This window comes from Homo sapiens, chromosome 6 (assembly GCF_000001405.40).
Source record: "Homo sapiens chromosome 6, GRCh38.p14 Primary Assembly".
Lineage (NCBI taxonomy): Eukaryota > Metazoa > Chordata > Mammalia > Primates > Hominidae > Homo > Homo sapiens.
In genome coordinates this window covers 132,814,481-132,833,607 of record NC_000006.12, presented here as the reverse complement: position 1 = coordinate 132,833,607, position 19,127 = coordinate 132,814,481, and the positions used below count along the sequence as shown (strand labels likewise).

At 40.0% G+C, this 19,127-nt stretch overlaps 1 protein-coding gene and 3 non-coding genes across 4 annotated transcripts, besides 3 other annotated features; all 4 read right to left on the bottom strand.

Annotated features, from left to right (window-relative positions):
• Window positions 12,721–12,790: an enhancer, noted in NCBI's record as "active region_25080". NCBI's record gives its function as "activates an Ori minimal core promoter by ATAC-STARR-seq in GM12878 lymphoblastoid cells {active_cell/tissue: GM12878}" and the evidence as "EXISTENCE:reporter gene assay evidence [ECO:0000049][PMID:35858748]".
• Window positions 14,060–14,109: an enhancer, noted in NCBI's record as "active region_25079". NCBI's record gives its function as "activates an Ori minimal core promoter by ATAC-STARR-seq in GM12878 lymphoblastoid cells {active_cell/tissue: GM12878}" and the evidence as "EXISTENCE:reporter gene assay evidence [ECO:0000049][PMID:35858748]".
• On the bottom strand, window positions 16,044–19,039 carry RPS12 (ribosomal protein S12). Its single transcript, NM_001016.4, has 6 exons — window positions 18,995–19,039; window positions 18,826–18,876; window positions 18,520–18,636; window positions 17,045–17,147; window positions 16,547–16,648; window positions 16,044–16,128 (listed from the first exon to the last, which is right to left on the bottom strand). The coding sequence occupies exons 2-6, from the start codon at window positions 18,837–18,839 to the stop codon at window positions 16,066–16,068; spliced, it is 399 nt and encodes a 132-aa protein (NP_001007.2). The 5' UTR covers window positions 18,840–18,876; window positions 18,995–19,039; the 3' UTR covers window positions 16,044–16,065.
• On the bottom strand, window positions 16,257–16,389 carry SNORA33 (small nucleolar RNA, H/ACA box 33). The gene has a single exon (NR_002436.1). It is a non-coding gene; the product is annotated as a small nucleolar RNA, H/ACA box 33 (small nucleolar RNA).
• SNORD100 (small nucleolar RNA, C/D box 100) lies at window positions 16,731–16,806 on the bottom strand. Its single transcript, NR_002435.1, is given in 1 exon segment — window positions 16,731–16,806. It is a non-coding gene; the product is annotated as a small nucleolar RNA, C/D box 100 (small nucleolar RNA).
• SNORD101 (small nucleolar RNA, C/D box 101) lies at window positions 18,229–18,301 on the bottom strand. The gene has a single exon (NR_002434.1). It is a non-coding gene; the product is annotated as a small nucleolar RNA, C/D box 101 (small nucleolar RNA).
• Window positions 18,574–18,703: an enhancer, noted in NCBI's record as "active region_25078". NCBI's record gives its function as "activates an Ori minimal core promoter by ATAC-STARR-seq in GM12878 lymphoblastoid cells {active_cell/tissue: GM12878}" and the evidence as "EXISTENCE:reporter gene assay evidence [ECO:0000049][PMID:35858748]".

The following is a 19,127-nucleotide window of genomic DNA, read 5'->3' as shown; positions in this document are numbered from 1 at the left end:
GCGGCGGCTGACATTAGCCTTAAAGTATAGAGACACACTCAAAATATGCGGCTTCCTTTGATTATTCATTCTACAACTTTCCTCTATACTTATTCAAATCTTTCCCTTTTCAGCATATATCATCTCTTGGAGTAATGTGTTGTCTATTCCATATGTAAAGGAGATTTTTTATTTAATTATTCGATGGATTAACCTAAATGGTAATGGGAGACTGTTTTTTCAATCTGTACTATTCATCATCTCTGTTACAGTATTCAATTATCATGTTTCCAGAATTAAGAGCCCCCATTTTAGCTTAATCATATTTGTCAGTGCAAATAGTATTTGGCACCCCCAACACAGAAAATGTGATCATAGATCATATTAATGTCCTCATTTTAAGTACTTTTGAACGAAATATCTTAATTAGCCATTGAGGAAAGCACATAAGAAGTGTGTTCCCTACCTTCGAGAAACTCTTAACCAAAGATGCAATCTATAGGCTAATTTGGGCTGTACAAATGAGGGGCCGGGAGAGATAAGAAAGGGCAGGCAGAGAAGAACTAAGAGCAAGGAACAAGATTATCTGACCTCATTGCTCAAAGACCTGAATTGTAACTGAAAGAAAACACAAAGGACTCAACGTCAAAGAACTTCCAAGGCCGAAGGCCTAGACTTTGGAAATATTTAAATGAAATATTTAAACTCGTTTTGTTTCTTAGGTGACAAAAAAAATTCTACATAAAGTAAAACATTGTGTTAAACACTCAGTAAATAGTGTGCAAAAATGAATATTCTGTTTGGGCAATGCTGTTCAGAGCAGCAACAGCTCTAAGTGGCTACAATCAATGCGCTTAACAACAGGGGCACAAAGCCACAGTTGAGAGCTGAAGCCAAGAGCAAGGGTCTGAACAGATATAAACACCCATTGGACTGAACAGTTTTCTATAATCTTTCTAAATAATCTTTAGACAGGCTTCTATAGACCCCTTAGGACTGGGACCCTAATAAAGTCCATGGCCTATGAAAGCTATTTATAAAACTTTTCGGAGAAGGTTACACAAATACATTGTCTCAAGCACTGTGTAACTAAAAGTTATAACCTATTCTATAGGGAATATTTGACTTTTAACAGATCTTAAAACTATCTTTATATAGGGTAGGGTTTTGCAAAGAAAAAGTAAACAAATTGTATTCTTTAAAAATATTATATACATTTAAATTTGCTCTGATAATTCTGTATCATAATAACAACCACCATTATTTATGTTTGAGACACTGGACAAAAGCACTTTATACATATCATCTCATCCTCACAAAAACGTTATGAGACAGGTATTATTATAACTATTTTAGAGAAAAAAACATGAGGTTCATATAAGTGAAATGACTTCTCTGTTGTTTCACAATCAGTAACTGCCAAAGCAGGATTCACATCCAAGCTCCCCTGACTATAAAGCCAGTGTATGTTGACCAACCACAAAATGAGAGAGAGAAAGAGAGAGAGATACAGATACAGGTACAGACACAGACATCTTAAAAGCCCTTGCATTCACCTCTCTGAGTTATCACTTTTCAAAGGCCTTAGTATGGACACCATAAGAATCTCCAATCTGATGCTCAGTGGTTGGCCCTACAAATAGACCAAGACTCTGTCAAATATCACATTTTAAAGCCCTTAGCATGTCAAAGAGGGTTAAAAATTAGTACCAGTGTCCTTGTTCACAATTACTTAATGAGAAGGCAGAACATATTGAAAAAGAAAAGTGAAAAATGTTTCAAGATCAGTTTTGCCCTCCCCACTATTTATGGAGCCCAGGATAAACCTCTGACTGCATTATGATTAAACATCTATGGTTTTCATTTATTCAAACTCACACTCAAGTCATTATTTCTGATATAGTAGCCCTGCCAGTTGACATAAGCTGCCAAGTGGTAGACTAAATTTCAGGTTCACGTTTGAATCTCTGGTGAACCCATAAAAGCTATATTTATGTATGTGATAGCCTTGGATTTTAATGGAAAAATGGTTAGCATATTAATAAAATGTTCTGCTTAGTACATACAAGTCAAATTTATGCCAACATGGAAAGGTTGCTTTCTCAAAAGAGAAAAAAAAAAGCAATCATAGCCTGAAGCAGATTATGTGCAGATATGAGGAAATTAAAGCTCAGATGTTAGTTAAAATGAACAACAAAAATCCACATTTTAAAAATAGGGTTTGGAGAAATATCTCCTAAACAAGGCTCCTAAGAATATAGAATTTAAAATGAAGATAAAGGCTGGAAGGCAAGTCTCCATTCAAAGAATGGAGACAATTTTTAAATCTTTTCTTTGAATTTTTGAATAATTCTTTGAATCTTTTCTTCCTTAACCAGGGTTAAAGGTCTAATATCAGCATCAAGGAAACTTCTATTTAGGCCTTTATTTCTCTTCTTTTACTTAAAGTTAATAAAATTTTTGATTTTCCAAGTGGCTGGTTAGATTTCCTGAAAGAAGCTAAGAAAGACTATTCCAAATTTTTCACAAACAAAACATAAGTAAATTTATTTACAGATATATAAAAAAATTCAACAAAATAAACCCAGTTTGTATATTACAGATCTGTGTTCCTTAGAAGTTGCTTCCTCAAGGAGAGGTATCCAATTGACATGAAAAACGAGCTGAGGCCTTGAGGTCCATGGATTTACCAATCTAATATTTTATCTCCTGCATTAACAGTTGTAGCAGATATCAGTAGTTTGGATCATGTATGTATTTTTTTGACCTGAGACCCAAGTTCCATATTATTATTAATGTATGCTTAGAAATTTGAGAAGAAATAAAGAAAATGAGTGTCTAGTGTTCTTAGAAAATTACTACTCCATAAAAAAACAGAGATTAAAAATCCTACAGCTGTAGAGCCAAGCTCTTTGTTATGCATGCACAGCTTTCTAAATCCCATAAAAATCTCAACATCTGACCCATTTCACTTTTACAGGGGAAGGGCCTGTTACACTGGAAAATATGCGTAAAAATCTGCAGCATTCAGAGGCATTAAACAGTTTTATTTCACATTTGTTTCCTATGTACCCTACATAGGAAACATACATTCCTCTGTTCTATGTACATTGTAGCACCTGCTGCTAAATCTCTACTCTCCATCAGCTCCCAGCCTTCTCTTTTCAGAAGGGATTGAGTGTCTTTTTGAACGGCTGAAGTAATGCTGCCATCTCCTGTTTGCTGGATAGAATGTAATGAAATTACCCTCGAAAGGAATGAAAAGTAAAATTGGATAAAACTACAAACTAGAGACTGTTGGCTCTTTTATAAATTTTCTCTAGCCATAGATTAAAAACCAATCTTATTCAAATTGACAATGTCATAATAATGTCTTAAATTTGATATGTCTTTAAATAAAAGTTATTCTAAAGAAATTTTGGTCCTTATCTAAACATTAAATTGGTACTTCACCTCATTTTTCAGAATATTGCTCTCCTCATGTTACCTAAATTTCAGTCATTTATTTTTTACAATGTAAACATGAAAAAAGTAAACTTTAAAAATAATAACCATATATATTAAGTTTTAATATTAGCTAAAGTGTTCTCAGGAAATTGATTTATCACCAACAGTCTCAAATTTAGAATACTCACAGAGAGTATGAGGAAGGCAAAAGTTAACCAAAACAGTAGAAATCACTGTCTTATTTTGGAATTTTACCAAAGTAGATACAAATAATAAAGTAACTTTAAAAAAATAAACTTTAAAAATTTATTTTTACCTCTAACTCTTAGAATCTGAAAACATATCCACTAGGGAAGTCCATGTCTTCAAAAATACATAGATTTTCTTTTGCTCTTATTCTTGCTATAAATCTCTTGGGCATTAATGTGATCATGTTCCCCAGGTTTTTGTGAATAGGAATAGCATTCTAGTTGAGGATGAGAATCTGTGTTTTAGGCTGACTAGTTAAAGAGATCCTTAAGAGACATTCTCTTTTCCAATTACAAACATCAGCATTCTGCTGACAGGGTCTCAGAAGAATGTGTACTTAACCCAGTATTATATTTAAAAGCCCAATTCCCCTTACAATCAATTATAGGTAGCAACACTCCTCATTTAAAGTTATTATAACCGCTTCTAAAAATTAATTCTTATTTGTTTATTTCATGGCAAGGCAAAGCAGCTGCTGTAATCTTTTATAAAATGTACCCTCATCATACACTTCCAGACTGGTTTTCTTCAAATCACTGTTTTCTGGGCAAATAGCTCCCCTTCTCTTCCCTTTTCTTTAAACGTGTCTCCTTGGCCTTATTAATTCACCTGTGTTGCTCCCCTACTGAAGGCTTGACAAGACTCAGTGTTGTAGATCCCTCTTTCTGGAGAATTCACCATGCTGAACCACTGTTGTTGGTCTGGATAGTACGAAATAAGTAGAGATCAGGAAAATATTGCACAGTTTTTGCACAGCAAACCTCAGAAGTGCAGAGCATTGCAAATGAATGGCTTATGGAATACTATGTTTGTACATTTGAGTTTTAGCTTTGTATAAACAGTTTTCTTCCAAATCTCTACATGCCTTTTGTGGAAGCTACCTACCAATTTATAAAATATAATTCTTCAGGGCTGGGCACGGTGGCTCACGCCTGTAATCCCAGCACTTTGGGAGGCCAAGGCGGGTGGATCACGAGGTCAGGAGATCAAGACCATCCTGGCTAACATGGTGAAACCCTGTCTCTACTAAAATACAAAAACCTAGCTGGGTGTGGTGGTGTGTGCCCGTAGTCCCAGCTACTTGGGAGGCTGAGGCAGGGGAATCACTTGAACCTGGGAGGTGGAGGTTGCAGCAAGCCAAGATCACGCCACTGCACCCCAGCCTGGCGACAGAGCAAGACTCTGTCTAAAAATAATAATAATAATAATCCTTCTACTTATATTAAATACAAACAATTCTAATATTCGACAAAATGGCAAATCCTATAATCAGTCAGTTTACCCAATGTTCAAAGGCTTCTTGGGTCATGTCCTGGAACTTGGGGTTCTATCTTCTCATTTGGAAAATGAAGGAATCAAACTAGACCATTTCTCAAATCTCTTCCATCTTAAAAACTCAGACTCGGCCAGGCGCAGTGGCTCACACCTGTAATCCCAGCACTTTGGAAGGCCAAGGCAGGCAGATTACCTGAGGTCAGGAGTTCGAGACCAGCCTGATCAACATGGTGAAACCCCGTCTTTATTAAAAATACAAAAAAATTAGCTGGGCATGGTGGTGCACGCCTGTAGTCCCAGCTGCTTGGGAGGCTGAGGCAGGAGAATTGCTTGAACTCGGGGGGCAGAGGTTGCAGTGAGCCGTGATAGCAACACTGAACTCCAGCCTGGGCGGCAGAGTGAAACTCCGTCTCAAGAAAAAAACAAACAAACAAACAAAAAACAGAAAAACCTCAGACTCTAATTCCAGTAGAATCTGCAGTGGAAAAATATTGTCACATCAGGCCTAAATTCTCTAGAGGCAAGAGAAAGCATGTTCTCCAGAAACACAGGAAAGAAAGTAGGAAGGTCACATTTTGGTCTGGCCATATAATTACTTCTAGAAAATAACAAAACCAATAATGATAATAGAGACAAGGTGGCTGCTGACACTCAGGAAAATCACAATTGTCATTAATATTTATTTACCTTTGGTGACAGTATTAAAGAAGATCACTTATGTCATTAAGAAGAATACTATAATAGTTTGGGTTGTTTGCTTTAATTCCCTGAATTTTGCATCTTTTAACAATAAGCTAACTTTGGGAAATGATCATCATAAACATAAATATACCTTCTTGTTTTATATTAAATGGTTAGTCTTAAATAAACCCTTGTATTATGTAAGAGTCCTTCCACCATGGTAGACTCTCTTCAAAAGACTAAAATAAAAAATGAAGCAATTTGGGAATCCCCTAAGATAACAAGATGTTATTATAAAATAAATCCCCATTATTTATTTGCACAATTATTTAACTATTATTATCAAGTCACTGAAGTAGAAATCAAAGAGTCTATAGAATTCTGGAATCACAGAACAAGGTTAAAAGGAGCTGGCTTACATGATCTTCCACTCAACTCTACTGAGTTTTGTTATTATTTACATATTATTTATATGTTGGGGCCAGGCACGGTGGCTCACACCTATAATTTCAGCACTTTGAGAGGCCAAAGTGGGTGCATCACCTGAGGTCAGGAGTTTGAGACCAGCCTAGCCAATATGGTGAAACCCCGTCTCTACTAAAAATGCAAAAATTAGCTGGGTGTGGTGGCTTATGCCTGTAATCCCAGCTACTCGGGAGGCTGAGGCAGGAGAATCGCTTGAACCTGGGAGGTGGAGGCTGCAGTGAGCTGAGATCATGCCACTGAATTCCAGCCCGGGTGACAGAGCAAGACTCCATCTCAAAAGAAAAAACAAATAAATAAAATAATATACATATATTATTTTTTGTTTGTCTTCCAATTTAGATAAGGCAATATAAATATTATTAAATATATTGCTTTTTTTTTTTTTTTTTTTGAGACGGAGTCTCGCTCTGTCACCCAGGCTGGAGTGCCGTGGCGCGATCTTGGCTCACTGCAAGCTCCGCCTCCCGGGTTCACGCCATTCTCCTGCCTCAGCCTCCGGAATAGCTGGGACTAGAGGCGCCCACCATCATGCCCGGCTAATTTTTTTGTATTTTTAGTAGAGACGGGGTTTCATCGTGTTAACCAGGATGGTCTCGATCTCCTGACCTCGTGATCCGCCCGCCTCTGCCTCCCAAAGTGCTGGGATTACAGGCGTGAGCCACCGCGCCCGGCCCTAATTTTCAAATTAGAATGTCTTAGTAGGAGAATAGAGTTAAAGTGCACAGGTAGAGGAACATTTTATTTGCTGCCTTAAAGATTTTCAGCACAAGTACAAATCCGTGAACTGACAATGATTGTAAGTTCTTTTCACTTCAATAAAATGCTATTTCAATTGAGACTTTCTGTGATCTCCAGAGAAAACAGTTACTCAGTTCTATCCAATGCAGTGAAAGTGGAATCAGTCAGATAATATTCAGTTTATTTACATTTTCTTTTTTTTTTTTTCGAAACAGAGTCTCGCTCTGTGGCCAGGCTGGAGTGCAGTGGCACAATCTCGGCTCACTGCAACCTCCGCCTCCCGGGTTCAAGTGATTCTCCTGCCTCAGTCTCCTGAGTAGCTGGGACTACAGGCACCCGCCACCACGCCTAGCTAATTTTTGTCTTTTTATTAAAGATGGGGTTTCACCATGTTGGCCAAGATGGTCTCGATCTCTTGACCTCGTGATCCATCCGCTTCAGCCTCCCAAAGTGCTAGGATTACAGGCATGAGCCACCGCACCCGGCCTATTTATATTTATTTTCAACTAACGATTGCATCAAGCTGAATTTCCAAAATAAAAAGTGAATGCTGGCATTTTGTTTTCATTTTTTAACTTGAGAAAATCACCAGCGTGGGGCAAAAAAAATAACAAGAATCCTCTGTACTAATTTATAGTGACCTGAACATTTTTCTCTCCCTCTGTCTCCCTCCCTCTCCATCCCTCCCTCACTTTCTCTGTCTCTTTTTCCCACTGCCTCCTCCCCAACACCAGCAAGAAATACAGCTTTTTTTTTTTTTTTTTTTTGGAGATGGAGTCTCATTCTGTCACCCAGGCTGCAGTGCAACCTCTGCCTGTCAGGTTCAAGTGATCCTCCCACCTCAGCCTCCTGAATAGCTGGGATACAGGCATGTGCCACCGTGCCTGGCTAATTTTTGTATTTTTAGTAGACACAGGGTTTAATCATGCTGGCCAGGCTGGTCTTGAACTCCTGACCTCAGGTGATCTGCCCACCGCCTCAGCCTCCCAAAGTGCTGGGATTACAGGCATGAGCCACTGCACCCAGCCTAATACTTCTGCTTTTAAAGCATTACCTCCATTTGCTGCAAATAAACTTTGAACACGGACTTTAAAAGTGTCCCGTACTGGGATGTATTGGATTCATTGGCCAGGCAGGTTTCTGACTCACAAAAGGTCGTGTTGTTGCCCATTGCTATGACAGGAGAAACACCTTCGCAGTTTTACTGCAATATAGAAGTTTATTTGAAGACCAGCTCACTTCTTATCGGTTTTATTTTTACTGCAACCCAACACAGTAGTGTCAAACCAAAGTGACTGTTAAACTTCATCTGTCCTGTATTCTATACCGAGCATTTCCAGAAGGCAGCAGTGCAACCCAAAATACTTTGAATGAGACTCACTTCACGAGACAACACTAGGCAACAACAAAGTTAATATGACAAGTCCGCCTTTTATGCCTTGATGATGCTACTAAAAAATCTAACAGATTTATTGTATATCATTTCCTCTTCACATACAACTCTGAATTCTGCTTTTGCACTTTAGCATCGTTCACATTATGTTATCATTTTCATTATTTTAGAGTAAACTTTTCTAGAGTCTTCACATGATAGAAATTTGGAATATAATATTTTGAAAAGGATAATTTTATTTCAAAATGAAGCTTGTGGGGAAATGTAGAAAAGGTTTTAATTTCTTCTTAAATTATATGTGTATTTCCTCCTGAAAGAGTGGCATAGCTGCATCACGTTACGACCCTCGTGGGGCTAAGTACCTCCCTGCAAGACACAACATGTACCCATTTAGCAAAACATCTGCTGACTCCTAGAATCCATCAAGTTTATCCAGCTTCAAATCTACAGGAGAAGGCAGGCTTTTTAATTTGTAGCATTTTATATGCTAATATTTTATTTTCCCCTTATGGATCTCATATTTATTTTTTTTTAATGTGCATTTTGCTTCTTTTCACCTGGGGGCAGCACTGTGAAATATCACAGACCTTTGACTCGGTATTTCTCTAACGAGCCAACCAAGTACAAACAGGATTTTTATATCCATTTGTAAATTTTAGTTGGGGGTAGTTGAGAGAAGGAAAAATAAAAAGACAAATACTACATTTGTGTAAGGTTTAATTCACATCACTCATATAATTCCGTGCTGTTGGCATATGTCTCGATAAATAAGCTTCAAAAAAGAACTTATTGCAATGTAAAAATAGTTTCTCTGAATTCACATGCTTTTTACTGTTCCCAGGTCTCACAATGGCCTTTAAACGTATTTTTTCAGCTTCTTAGAGCCATGTACTCCATATTGTGATAGGATATGTTTCTATGCCCTGCTCCCTAGAGTGGAGCTGGAGAGAAAGGAAGTTGAGACAGCTTGGCTCCACACTCGACTCAAAGCAGCCCAACCTAGAGACTTACTTTCGTTGCCAGAGGAAAAGGAACCTTAAAAAATAGAGGGTGAAAAAAGGCTGAGGAGTTTAAGACTGAAAAGAAAGCCCACAAACAAACAATTGAAATATCTGAGTTCCTACTACACCACGCACTGTCCTAGGCACGGGAGATAAAGGCTCAGAACATAGATGATGCTTCCATGGAGCTATGGTGTGGAGAATTTAATCTCCAAAGTATACCCCTTGCCTTGATCATCTCCAAATTATGCCCATTTTCCAGAATAGGCTTTCTCTGGAAACTTGTTCTTCGGGTAGTTCTAGGCATATTCTCAGTATGGTGGAGAAAACATTGAAAATCAACGGTTTAAATTTTTATAATTTATTTGTATTTCACACATATATATTGCAATTGAGCAAAATTAGTAACCTTGGAAGAAAGATAAAAAACAGCCAGTGTCCACTGGTGGTTACAGAATTCTAATTGATATCATTTATAAAACTTAAACTGGCCGGGCGCAGTGGCTCACGGCTGTAATCCCAGCACTTTGGGAGGCCGAGGCAGGCAGATCATGAGGTCAGGAGATCGCGACCATCCTGGCTAACACGGTGAAACCCCGTCTCTACTAAAAATACAAAAAAAATTAGCCGGGCGTGGTGGCGGGCGCCTGTAGTCCCAGCTACTCGGGAGACTGAGGCAGGAGAATGGCGTGAACCCGCGAGGCGGAGCTTGCAGTGAGCCGAGATCGCACCACAGTACTCCAGCCTGGGCAACAAAGCGATACTCTGTCTCAAAAAAAAAAAAAAAAAAAAAAAAAAAAAAAAACTTGAACTACTTAACTACTTAAAATTACAACTAATTGAAATAATGTTATGTGAGTTAGAAAATTAATGCCAATGTCCTTTAGTATTTAAAAAGTTTAAATGTAAATGGTCTAAGAGCAAGGCTAATTTGGTATTGTTATTATTATTGGAAGCTTTCATTAAACTCAATCCAAATGATGGATAACAGTTTGTAAAAAGCAAATAAATGCAACCAGAAATAGTAAACTAAGCTCAACAATATCCTATAATCTCTATTCCTACAAACAGAATTCTCAAAATCTTCACAGAATGCGATAAGAATCTTTTCCTAGGGTGAACCTGCTATAGTCCCTGCTTCTTACCTTGTCTTCCTGTTTTTCACTGACCTGTCCCTCAGCTGGCATCAGTTTCTTACTGCCCTCTGCTGGCTAGGCATGAATTCATTCGTTTTAAGCAGTTTTGTTTTTACAACTTAAAGTACAGACAAGTATATAAACTCACTTGATTCACAAAACATAAATTTTTAAAAAGATTATTAATGGCACTCAAAATTAACCCCAAGAATGTACTGTATCTTTATTTCATTTAATTTAAAATGTTTTATTGGCATTTGGCCTTCTTTCTCAGTGCCTGCTTGGGTTTCTTCCAAGTAAACTTTCCTTTAAAAAATAAAAATAAATATTTTACTTCAAAAGCAATACATGTTGATTAGAGGAAAAAGAAAACAAGCAAATGGAAAACCTTCCTAGAAACATTAACACCTTGATGTATACCCTTCCAACCTGTCTTCTCTGCCAGCATGTACCTTTATATTCTTTTTTTTTTTTTTTTTTTTTTTTTTTTTTTTTTTTTTTTGAGACTGAGTCTCCCTCTGTTGCCCAGGCTGGAGCGCAATGTGCGATCTTGGCTCACTGCAACCTCTGCCTCCTGGGTTCAAGAGATTCTCCCACCTCAGCCTCCCGAGTAGCTGGGATTACAGGCGCCTGCCACCATGCCTAGCTAATTTTTGTATTTTTGGTAGAGATGGGGTTTCACCATGTTGGCCAGGCTGGTCTTGAACTCCTGACCTCAGGTGATCCGCGCCCACCTTGGCCTCCCAAAGTGCTAGGATTACAGGCATGAGCCACCACTCTCGGCCCCTTTATATTCTATATTATTTTAGTATTTCCTCCTTTTCTTTTTCTAGAAAATGCTATCCTATTGTACGTTCAACTACTTTTCAAAACATGTATATTAACAAATGCCCTTCTATACTATTTCAGTGGCACCCTAATATCCCATTAAGTAAACATATATTTTATTCAATTCTCCATCAACACAAAGTATTGTAGCTCTGTGATGAATATACTTACAGCTATGCCTATTCTTTTATTTGAAATTGGCCTAATAAAGGTTTTCTAAACTAAAACATTCTGAATTGATGCTTTACGATTTTTTCTCTCCCTGGCTGGGTACAGTGGCTCACACCTGTAATCTCAGCACTTTGGGAGGCCGAGGCAGGCGGATCACGAGGTCAGGAGTTTGAGACCAGCCTGGCCAATATGGTGAAACCCCGTCTCTACTAAAAATACAAAAATTAGCCAGGCATGGTGGCGCATGCCTGTAGTCCCAGTTACTTGGGAAGCTGAGGCAGAATCACTTGAACCCGGGAGGCGGAGGCTGCAGTGAGCCGAGATTGTGCCACTGCAATCCAGCCTGGGTGACACAGCGAGACTGTCTCAAAAAAAACAAAAAACAAACCAAAAAAAAAACCAAAAATTTTTTTCTCTCCCTTTATCATCAAAAAGTGAAAGGCAAATAGAACCTCACTGATTGGTAGGGTCTCAGGAGGATCACCAGGGTTTCTATCTTCACAATCTTTGTCACTCAGTTTGGTTAATTCATATTTAAAAAACGAACTCAAAAGAGATGGAAAAATACAACAAAAAGACACTTCTGTCTCTTCTCTGGCACATTTCCTTCCAAAAACTAAGGTACTGTGGAAGCCAAATTAAAAGTGTGGTGATGAAGACCGTCACTGAACATTTAGCAAAAAAAAAAAAAAAGAAAGGAAGAAAGAGGAGGAGGAAAAGGGGAGAAAAAATACTCTGAGGAATGTTTTACACAAAGTAGGGAAGAGCTTAGAAAACTGCCCATCAACATAGGTGAAGAATCCTTAGGAGGAAGATTCATCCTCCTCCCCAGTATTTGTAAGCCTTCCCAAGCAAAAGCCAGATTTGAATACAACTTATCAACACACTAAGATTATGATCTGTAAACTCTGGGAAAAGAGCTGGCTGAAACATCTCACTTATGATAAAGCAATTTGAATTGAGATGTACTGTTATATTTGAAGTGTCAAAACATGTTTTCAAAAAGGAACTCATGATTTATTTTTGCCTGGGATCGGCTTGGTCCCAATCCTTCTGAACATTCTGATGTGTCGATACTTCTATATCCCAAGCCACCAGCAGTGAGTCAGACTGGTGCCCTGAGTGAGTCTGGTGGCCTCTCCCCAGGTCACCTCCTTAACCACGCCATCTCTTTTGCTAGGACTTACTGCTGAAGTTGTTCTTCTAGCACATGGATTGACCTTTCTGAAAATGCCTGGCTGGGAGGACAATGCTGTACCCTTCTCTGCCATCAGCCTGTCCCATCCTTTTCCTGGAGTGGTGATGGCTACTGACCTTATTCCTTGACTACATAGTCTCTTCTCTCTCAGTGGCTCTCAGGAGTACTTGTGATTAACATAGTCCTTGAGCACAACTCTTTAAATAACGAACTCATTTAAAAAAAGAAATTCAAACTCCATTAAGGGCTAGTCCTCAGTAAGCCTAGCAGATGTTTCCACACTTTCCTACGGTTTATAAGCTGTCTATGTAATGCTTCTGTTGCCTCAACAATCCAGTTAAAGACTGACAGTACTTGTTTATAACAGCAGTCTAATACAGCCTTTTTACAATTTCTCTTTAGATGTTTTTTTTTTTTTTTGAGATGGAGTCTTGCCCTGTCTCCCAGGCTGGAGTGCAATGGCGCGATCTTGTCTCACTGCAACCTCCACGTCCCGGGGTTCAAATGATTCTCCTGCCTCAGCCTCCCGAGTAGCTGGGATTACAGGCACCCACCACCACACCCAGCTATTTTTTGTATTTAGTAGAGACAGGGTTTCACCCTGTTGGCCAGGCTGGTCTCAAACTCCCTGATCTCGTGAGCCGCCCGCCTTGGCCTCCCAAAGTGCTGGGATTAAGGGGTGAGCCATCGCGCTTGGCCTCTCATTCATTTTTTAAAGCATTTAAAGTGGTTTATCAGAAATACATAGAATACGCTAATAAAATCACAATGAGGCAAAAAAAAAAAAAAAAAAAGAATAAAGAACAGAAAGAAAATTGAGTCTTTCATTTGGAGGCTCTTACAGCCAAAGAAAACAGGCAGTCACAAGTCTCATTGTCCATGGGTGCAAGAAAACATCAAGTGCTAGGCTCAAACAGCTCTCCTTTTGGGTTCATGAGGGATGTCCTCAACAAGATTCTGAGCACACACAGCAACCAATGTCATAAAACAATTTTCCCCCATAAAACAATGAAGACATCTGCTTCTGTCCTGGCACTTTTGCTTCAGTGGGCTCCCCAGTGAATTCCATATAAGCTACACAGGCAAATCACACTCTGAAGCCGACATTACATTTGCACTGAGTTTTGAAGAATGAGTAGGAGATATCTAGATGGAGAAAAGTAGAGGTACTTCAAACAGAACAAACCAAAGTTATGAAGAGATGGACATGATCACTTTTCAATAACTGTAACTCAGAAGTCTGGATGAGTAACTGGAGTGGAGTGACTCATGTCTTGAAAATCATCTGGATGAGACTGACAGTAGTAAGACCTATACAGCGCAGGTAGGAGTTGAGGATGCCAAGGCCTTTGGCTTGGGAAAGTGGTACGCAGTAACAAGTGATAATGAATGCAGTATGGTGCATACCACACAGTCAGCTTTCTTTTCCTCTAACAAAAACATGTTAGTGATGGTAAAGTTCACTTCAAGGCACGCAAAATTTGAAGAGCAAGTGGGTCTTCCTTGGGAAATTGTCTGGTACAGCTTAGAGTTGATCAAAGAAAACAAAATAGACTTGGGAATCAGGGGAAGCTGTGGGAGTGGGAGAATGTCTCAGGAAGGCTGCAGAGAAGCAAACATGCTCACCTGAACTCTGGAAACTATTACAATTGAAAGCACAGGCAGAATAAGAGAAAGAACTGAAATGTGGTAAAGGTCAAAATGCTAACACAACAGTACTTAAAATCCTGGAGGTCAGGAAAAGGCTGTGATTGAGCCACTGCATTTGACCAGAAGCTGCTGGAGGACAACAGCCAGAAAACCGACAAAGTCTGAGGATGGAGACATTTTAATGACTTGGAGCAAACACAGAGCAACAGTAAGGGAAGATGCAGAGTTCAAGGTTAGATTTGGGGCCAGGTACAGTGGCTCATTCCTGTAATCCCAGCACTTTGGGAGGCCAATCCAACACCTGAGGTCAGGAGCTCCAGACCAGCCTGGCCAACATGGTGAAACCCCATCTCTGCTAAAAATACAAAAATTAGCTGGGCATGGTGGCATGCGCCTGTAATCCCAGCTACTCTGGAGGCAGAGGTTGCAATGAGTTGAAATCGTGCCACTGCACTCCAGCCTGGGTGACAGAGTGAAGACTGTCTCAAAAAACAAAACAAAAACAACAAAAAAACTTGGGAGATTAACATTCCTTCTGACTTTGGTGTTTTGCAGCTGAGATGACAGTGGACATGGAAACACCAAAACAAAACAAAAAAATCTGAGCCTGGACAATGTGGTGAAACCCCATCTCCACCAAAAAATATGCAACAGGCACTCAAAAATGTCTACATAGATTGGTCATACAAGGAAACTAGAATTCAAAGTGAACTTTCCTCAGAAAAGCCAGAGTACATGAGGTTGACAATTTCAATGTTAACACACAGTTCCAGGTTATACACACTTCAGAAAAAATCTCTCAGAGCTCCTTGCTTTCCATGAGGGTACTCAATGTCACTACCATGCTAAGGTCAACCAGCTTTAGCTATAACTACCAAACCAACCAGTACGGGAGACCCTACTCGGAGATTCTCAATCAAGGTTTAAGACGCAAAGAAAAACCTTGGTATAGTCTTCAAAACCAGGATTGGCCAAGTATATGGCCTCACAACATTCTTTTAACGGTACCTTTATCCAAGTTTAAAATACACCAAACACCAGCCATGGCTTCTCTCACTGCGATTTCTAGGGACTGGGGTGCATTCAAGCCCCTCTCGCTCCTGCACAAAAGGCCAGGAATGGTGGCTCACACTTGTAATCCCAGCACTTTGGAAGGCTGAAGCTGGTGGATCACCTGCTGTCTAAGTTCTAGACCATCCTGGCCAAATATGGTGAAACCCCATCTCTACTAAAAACACAAAAAAATTGCCAGGCATCTGTAATCCTAGCTGCTTGGGAGGCTGAGGCACGAGAATCGCTCGAACCCAGGACAAAGAGGTTGCAGTGAGCCAAGATTGCGCCATTGCACTCCAGCCTGGGCAACAAGAGTGAAACTCCGTCTCCAACCAAAGAAGTCAAACGAATGTCCACAAGCATTCCTGGGTATCATAACACTTGTCCCACATGCAAGATATGATCCTGGCCCAACTGTGTACTTTCTACTAACCTGCCCAGCAAGTCTACTCACTGTCCTTTCATAGACTGCAATCTATTAAAAACACAACCTCTCTCTCCAAATTCTAGGCTAGTCTAGTGAGGGATAAATGCCCATAGCTAAGTAATCCTGGCCATCACCAACACTGCATGGCAGACCTATCTTTGCTAAGGCTGTCCAGGTTTGAATTGCCCCATGATGCAGTCATTGGCTGGGGAGAAGACTTTGAGAGCAAGTTTCCAGTTAATCTGTAGCAATCACTTTGCGATGATTACATTTTACTTTGCTAACAGGGACCTTATTTTACTGCCCCAAATAAAAAGCCAGACATGAGGAATGTGAGCCAAAGATTTATTTCTTCATTTCTTGCATTTGAAATACTCTTCAATGACATCCTTGGCCTGAGACTCCTTGCCATAGTCCTTAAAAAAAACAAAACACGCATGCAATTTCTTGTTAATATTTAGGAATTTCACCAAGCTATTAGTATCAATTATAGTGGAGCTTCAACAATTAGCTATGTCTTATAAAAATGTTTCCCATCACTAAGATTTGTTATAGCCATTCTCAGGGACCTTAACGACTTCAATGTCCTTAAGGCTCGTAACATGGCTTTACTATTGCCAGTTTTTAAAGTATGTCTGCACAAACACAATCAGGTAAGCAGATTCATTGGCTGGCTTGTAAATTACAGCTTTTATTTTTTTCCTGAAATGCAGAAAATGCTTTAAACCTGTTGAATCAGTTTTTTCCTTTTATAAGATCCTCAACTTATTTCAATACAAGGTTTTATATGATTACCCAGCATAACCTTCATCCCTAGAATAAACGGTGACTTACCTTAACTACTACACAACTGCAACCAACCACTTTACGGGGTTTCCCCTCTCTGTCAATTTTACAAAGGCCTACCCATTCTCCTAGTTTCTTGTTGTCATCAACCTATTGGGAGAAAGGTTAAAAAAAAAAAAAATCACATTAATAGACATTAACACTACCAAAATTAAATGAAACCCAAAAGGTGGCTGTAATCAGAAGGGTGACATGGCAGTTTCCTCATGGCAGTTCAGTAGAGGGAGCCAGTTGTCATCATGTACAGCACTAAGATCACCTACAAGCCTGCTACTAATCTTTGTTGTATACCAACGTCAAAATTAGGATTCAATTCTGCAGGTATAAAATGCTTCTACCTACAATCATCTTTAAAATGGCCGACAGTATCAGGTGCACGTAATGTTTACACCTGCACAAAATGAACAGCTTGAGACTTCACAGAATTTACCCCCATATACAAGCATCACTGAACATTAGTCCCAACACAATCCTTAGCAGCCTTACCTTAATTAGGTTGATTTGGTGTTCAGCACAAAGGGCCTCCACCAACTTGACATACATAGGCTCATCACAGTTGGATGCAAGCACACAAAGATGGGCTTGGCGCCTGAAATTCAAATTACAATGAAAATGGAGCTAAAACTCAGATCCAAATCCATCATTCTTGCATTTTAGGAGGGTTATCTTTGCACTAACACTTGCGAAACATAAGCAGCCAATCCACTGAACACATAAATGCGTACAAAATTGCTTGAGTCTGAAGAACCTGCTAGGGAGCATATACATCTTCAATTAACCTACAACTGGTCTTCAGTAAAACCTCTGTCCCTGACACACTGAATTGGTGTAAGTCATTTTTAAAACTTCTGGCCAAAACCCAACCATAATAGCTTTCTTGTAAGCCAGCTTCATATACCTAAAGAAACATGTGAAAGGCCGGGCACGATGGCTCACTCCTGTAATCCCAGCACTTTGGGAAGACGAGGGGGGCAGATGACCCGAGGTCAGGAGTACCAGACCAGCCAGAGACCAACATGGCGAAACCCCGTTTCTACTGAAAGTACAAAAACTAGCTGGGCATGGTGGCGTGTGCCTGTAATTCCATCTACTCGGGAGGCAGAAGAATCGCTTGAACCTGGTAGGTAGAGGTTGCAATGAGATCGCGCCACTGCACTCCAGCCTGGGGGACAGAGCAAGACTCTTTGTCTCAAAAAAAAAAAAGAAAAAAGAAAAAAAAAAGACTGTGGCATTAATGGAACAGTTATGAAATGCCATGCAATAATGCCGAAATAGAAATACAGAAGACTCATACTAGGACCTACTAAATACATTAAACAATAATGCCGTTTCCATCGGATTGAACTGGCTAGATTACACCAAAACGAACTTGTCCTGTAAAACCTTAAAACTGCATTTAAATTCAGCTCAAGAGTAGGTTGATTTGTCAATGCCACCACCCTAAAAAACACATTAACTCGATCCATTCAAATACATTAACAAATATCCCAAATTCAAATAAATCACAGCTATTATACTACTAAATTCATCTAGGACCAAATGCTTCTGAAACCTGAGTTTGAAATTCCATTAAATTAATGCTTGTTTTGCAAACTACCAGATGTAATGTGGCTCTCCATCTCATCTATCTGCCAGATAAGTATAAGACTGACTAGCTCCACAACCTACAGGTTTGTCAGACTCTTATGTTTCACTCATAAAAGGAGTGAAGGGGTATCCGACAATTAAAGTCATCATTCAAACACTGTAGTTTTGAGTGCTTATCCCCATTCCAAACAGCAACCCACACATTTTAAGTGGGCTTTATAGATCTGAGTTCTGATACCTTTTCCTAGGTTTCCGGTAGGACGGATGCCATTCAGAACTTTTGCGCTAACACCATGAACTCCATGCCTTCTTCCCTTGGGTGGCAGTTTTGTTCCGGTTGCAAGAACCCACAGTATTGAGACTGATACACGTACTTGTCTAAGGCTTTGGCAGCTTCGCGAATTCCACGTGCTAGGCCATCGTGGATGAGGGCAGTCTTCAGAACCTCTTGTAAAGCAGTATTAACGTCCATTACACCTCCAGCAGCAATGCTTAAACGCGACACATCAGAACCATCAGTTAAAATCCTCACACCACATAAGGCCTTGCACTCAGCAAAAGCTAAGTGTACAACAGACGCGCTTACGGCGACCCGTTTGACCCAGTCCTGTTCCGCCAGCTCTAGCCCCACGCCTCAGCCGCACCCCGACCCCAACTCCAACCCCGGCCCCTGGGCTCACCCTTCCTCGGCCATGGCGGTGGGTTACGGGTGAAGTTGAATCTTGAACGCACTAAAAAACAAAAGCATTGACTTGTTAAAGAACCAGATACTCGTCACGAATCCCAGCAAGAACGCAACGAGCCACAAATTATAACCAATACACCCCCCTGCCGCCTCGCTCAACTTACCCCAAGCCTCCGCCTCCGCGCGACTCGGCGGCGGCAGGGAAAGAGGCCTCATCCGCACGCATGCCGGTATTTAAGGGTTTTTCAGGTCCCCTGTGCGCATGTGCACTCCCACCCTCGAAAGAGGTGGCTCCCG

Excerpts from the sequence above, each read along its gene's own strand:
- RPS12 (NM_001016.4), bottom strand. Across the intron at positions 16,649-17,044 it reads ACCAAATCAACCTAATTAAG|GTTGATGACAACAAGAAACT; the intron begins GTAAGGCTGCTA and ends TTCTCCCAATAG. Across the intron at positions 16,129-16,546 it reads GCAGTTGTGTAGTAGTTAAG|GACTATGGCAAGGAGTCTCA; the intron begins GTAAGTCACCGT and ends GTTTTTTTTAAG.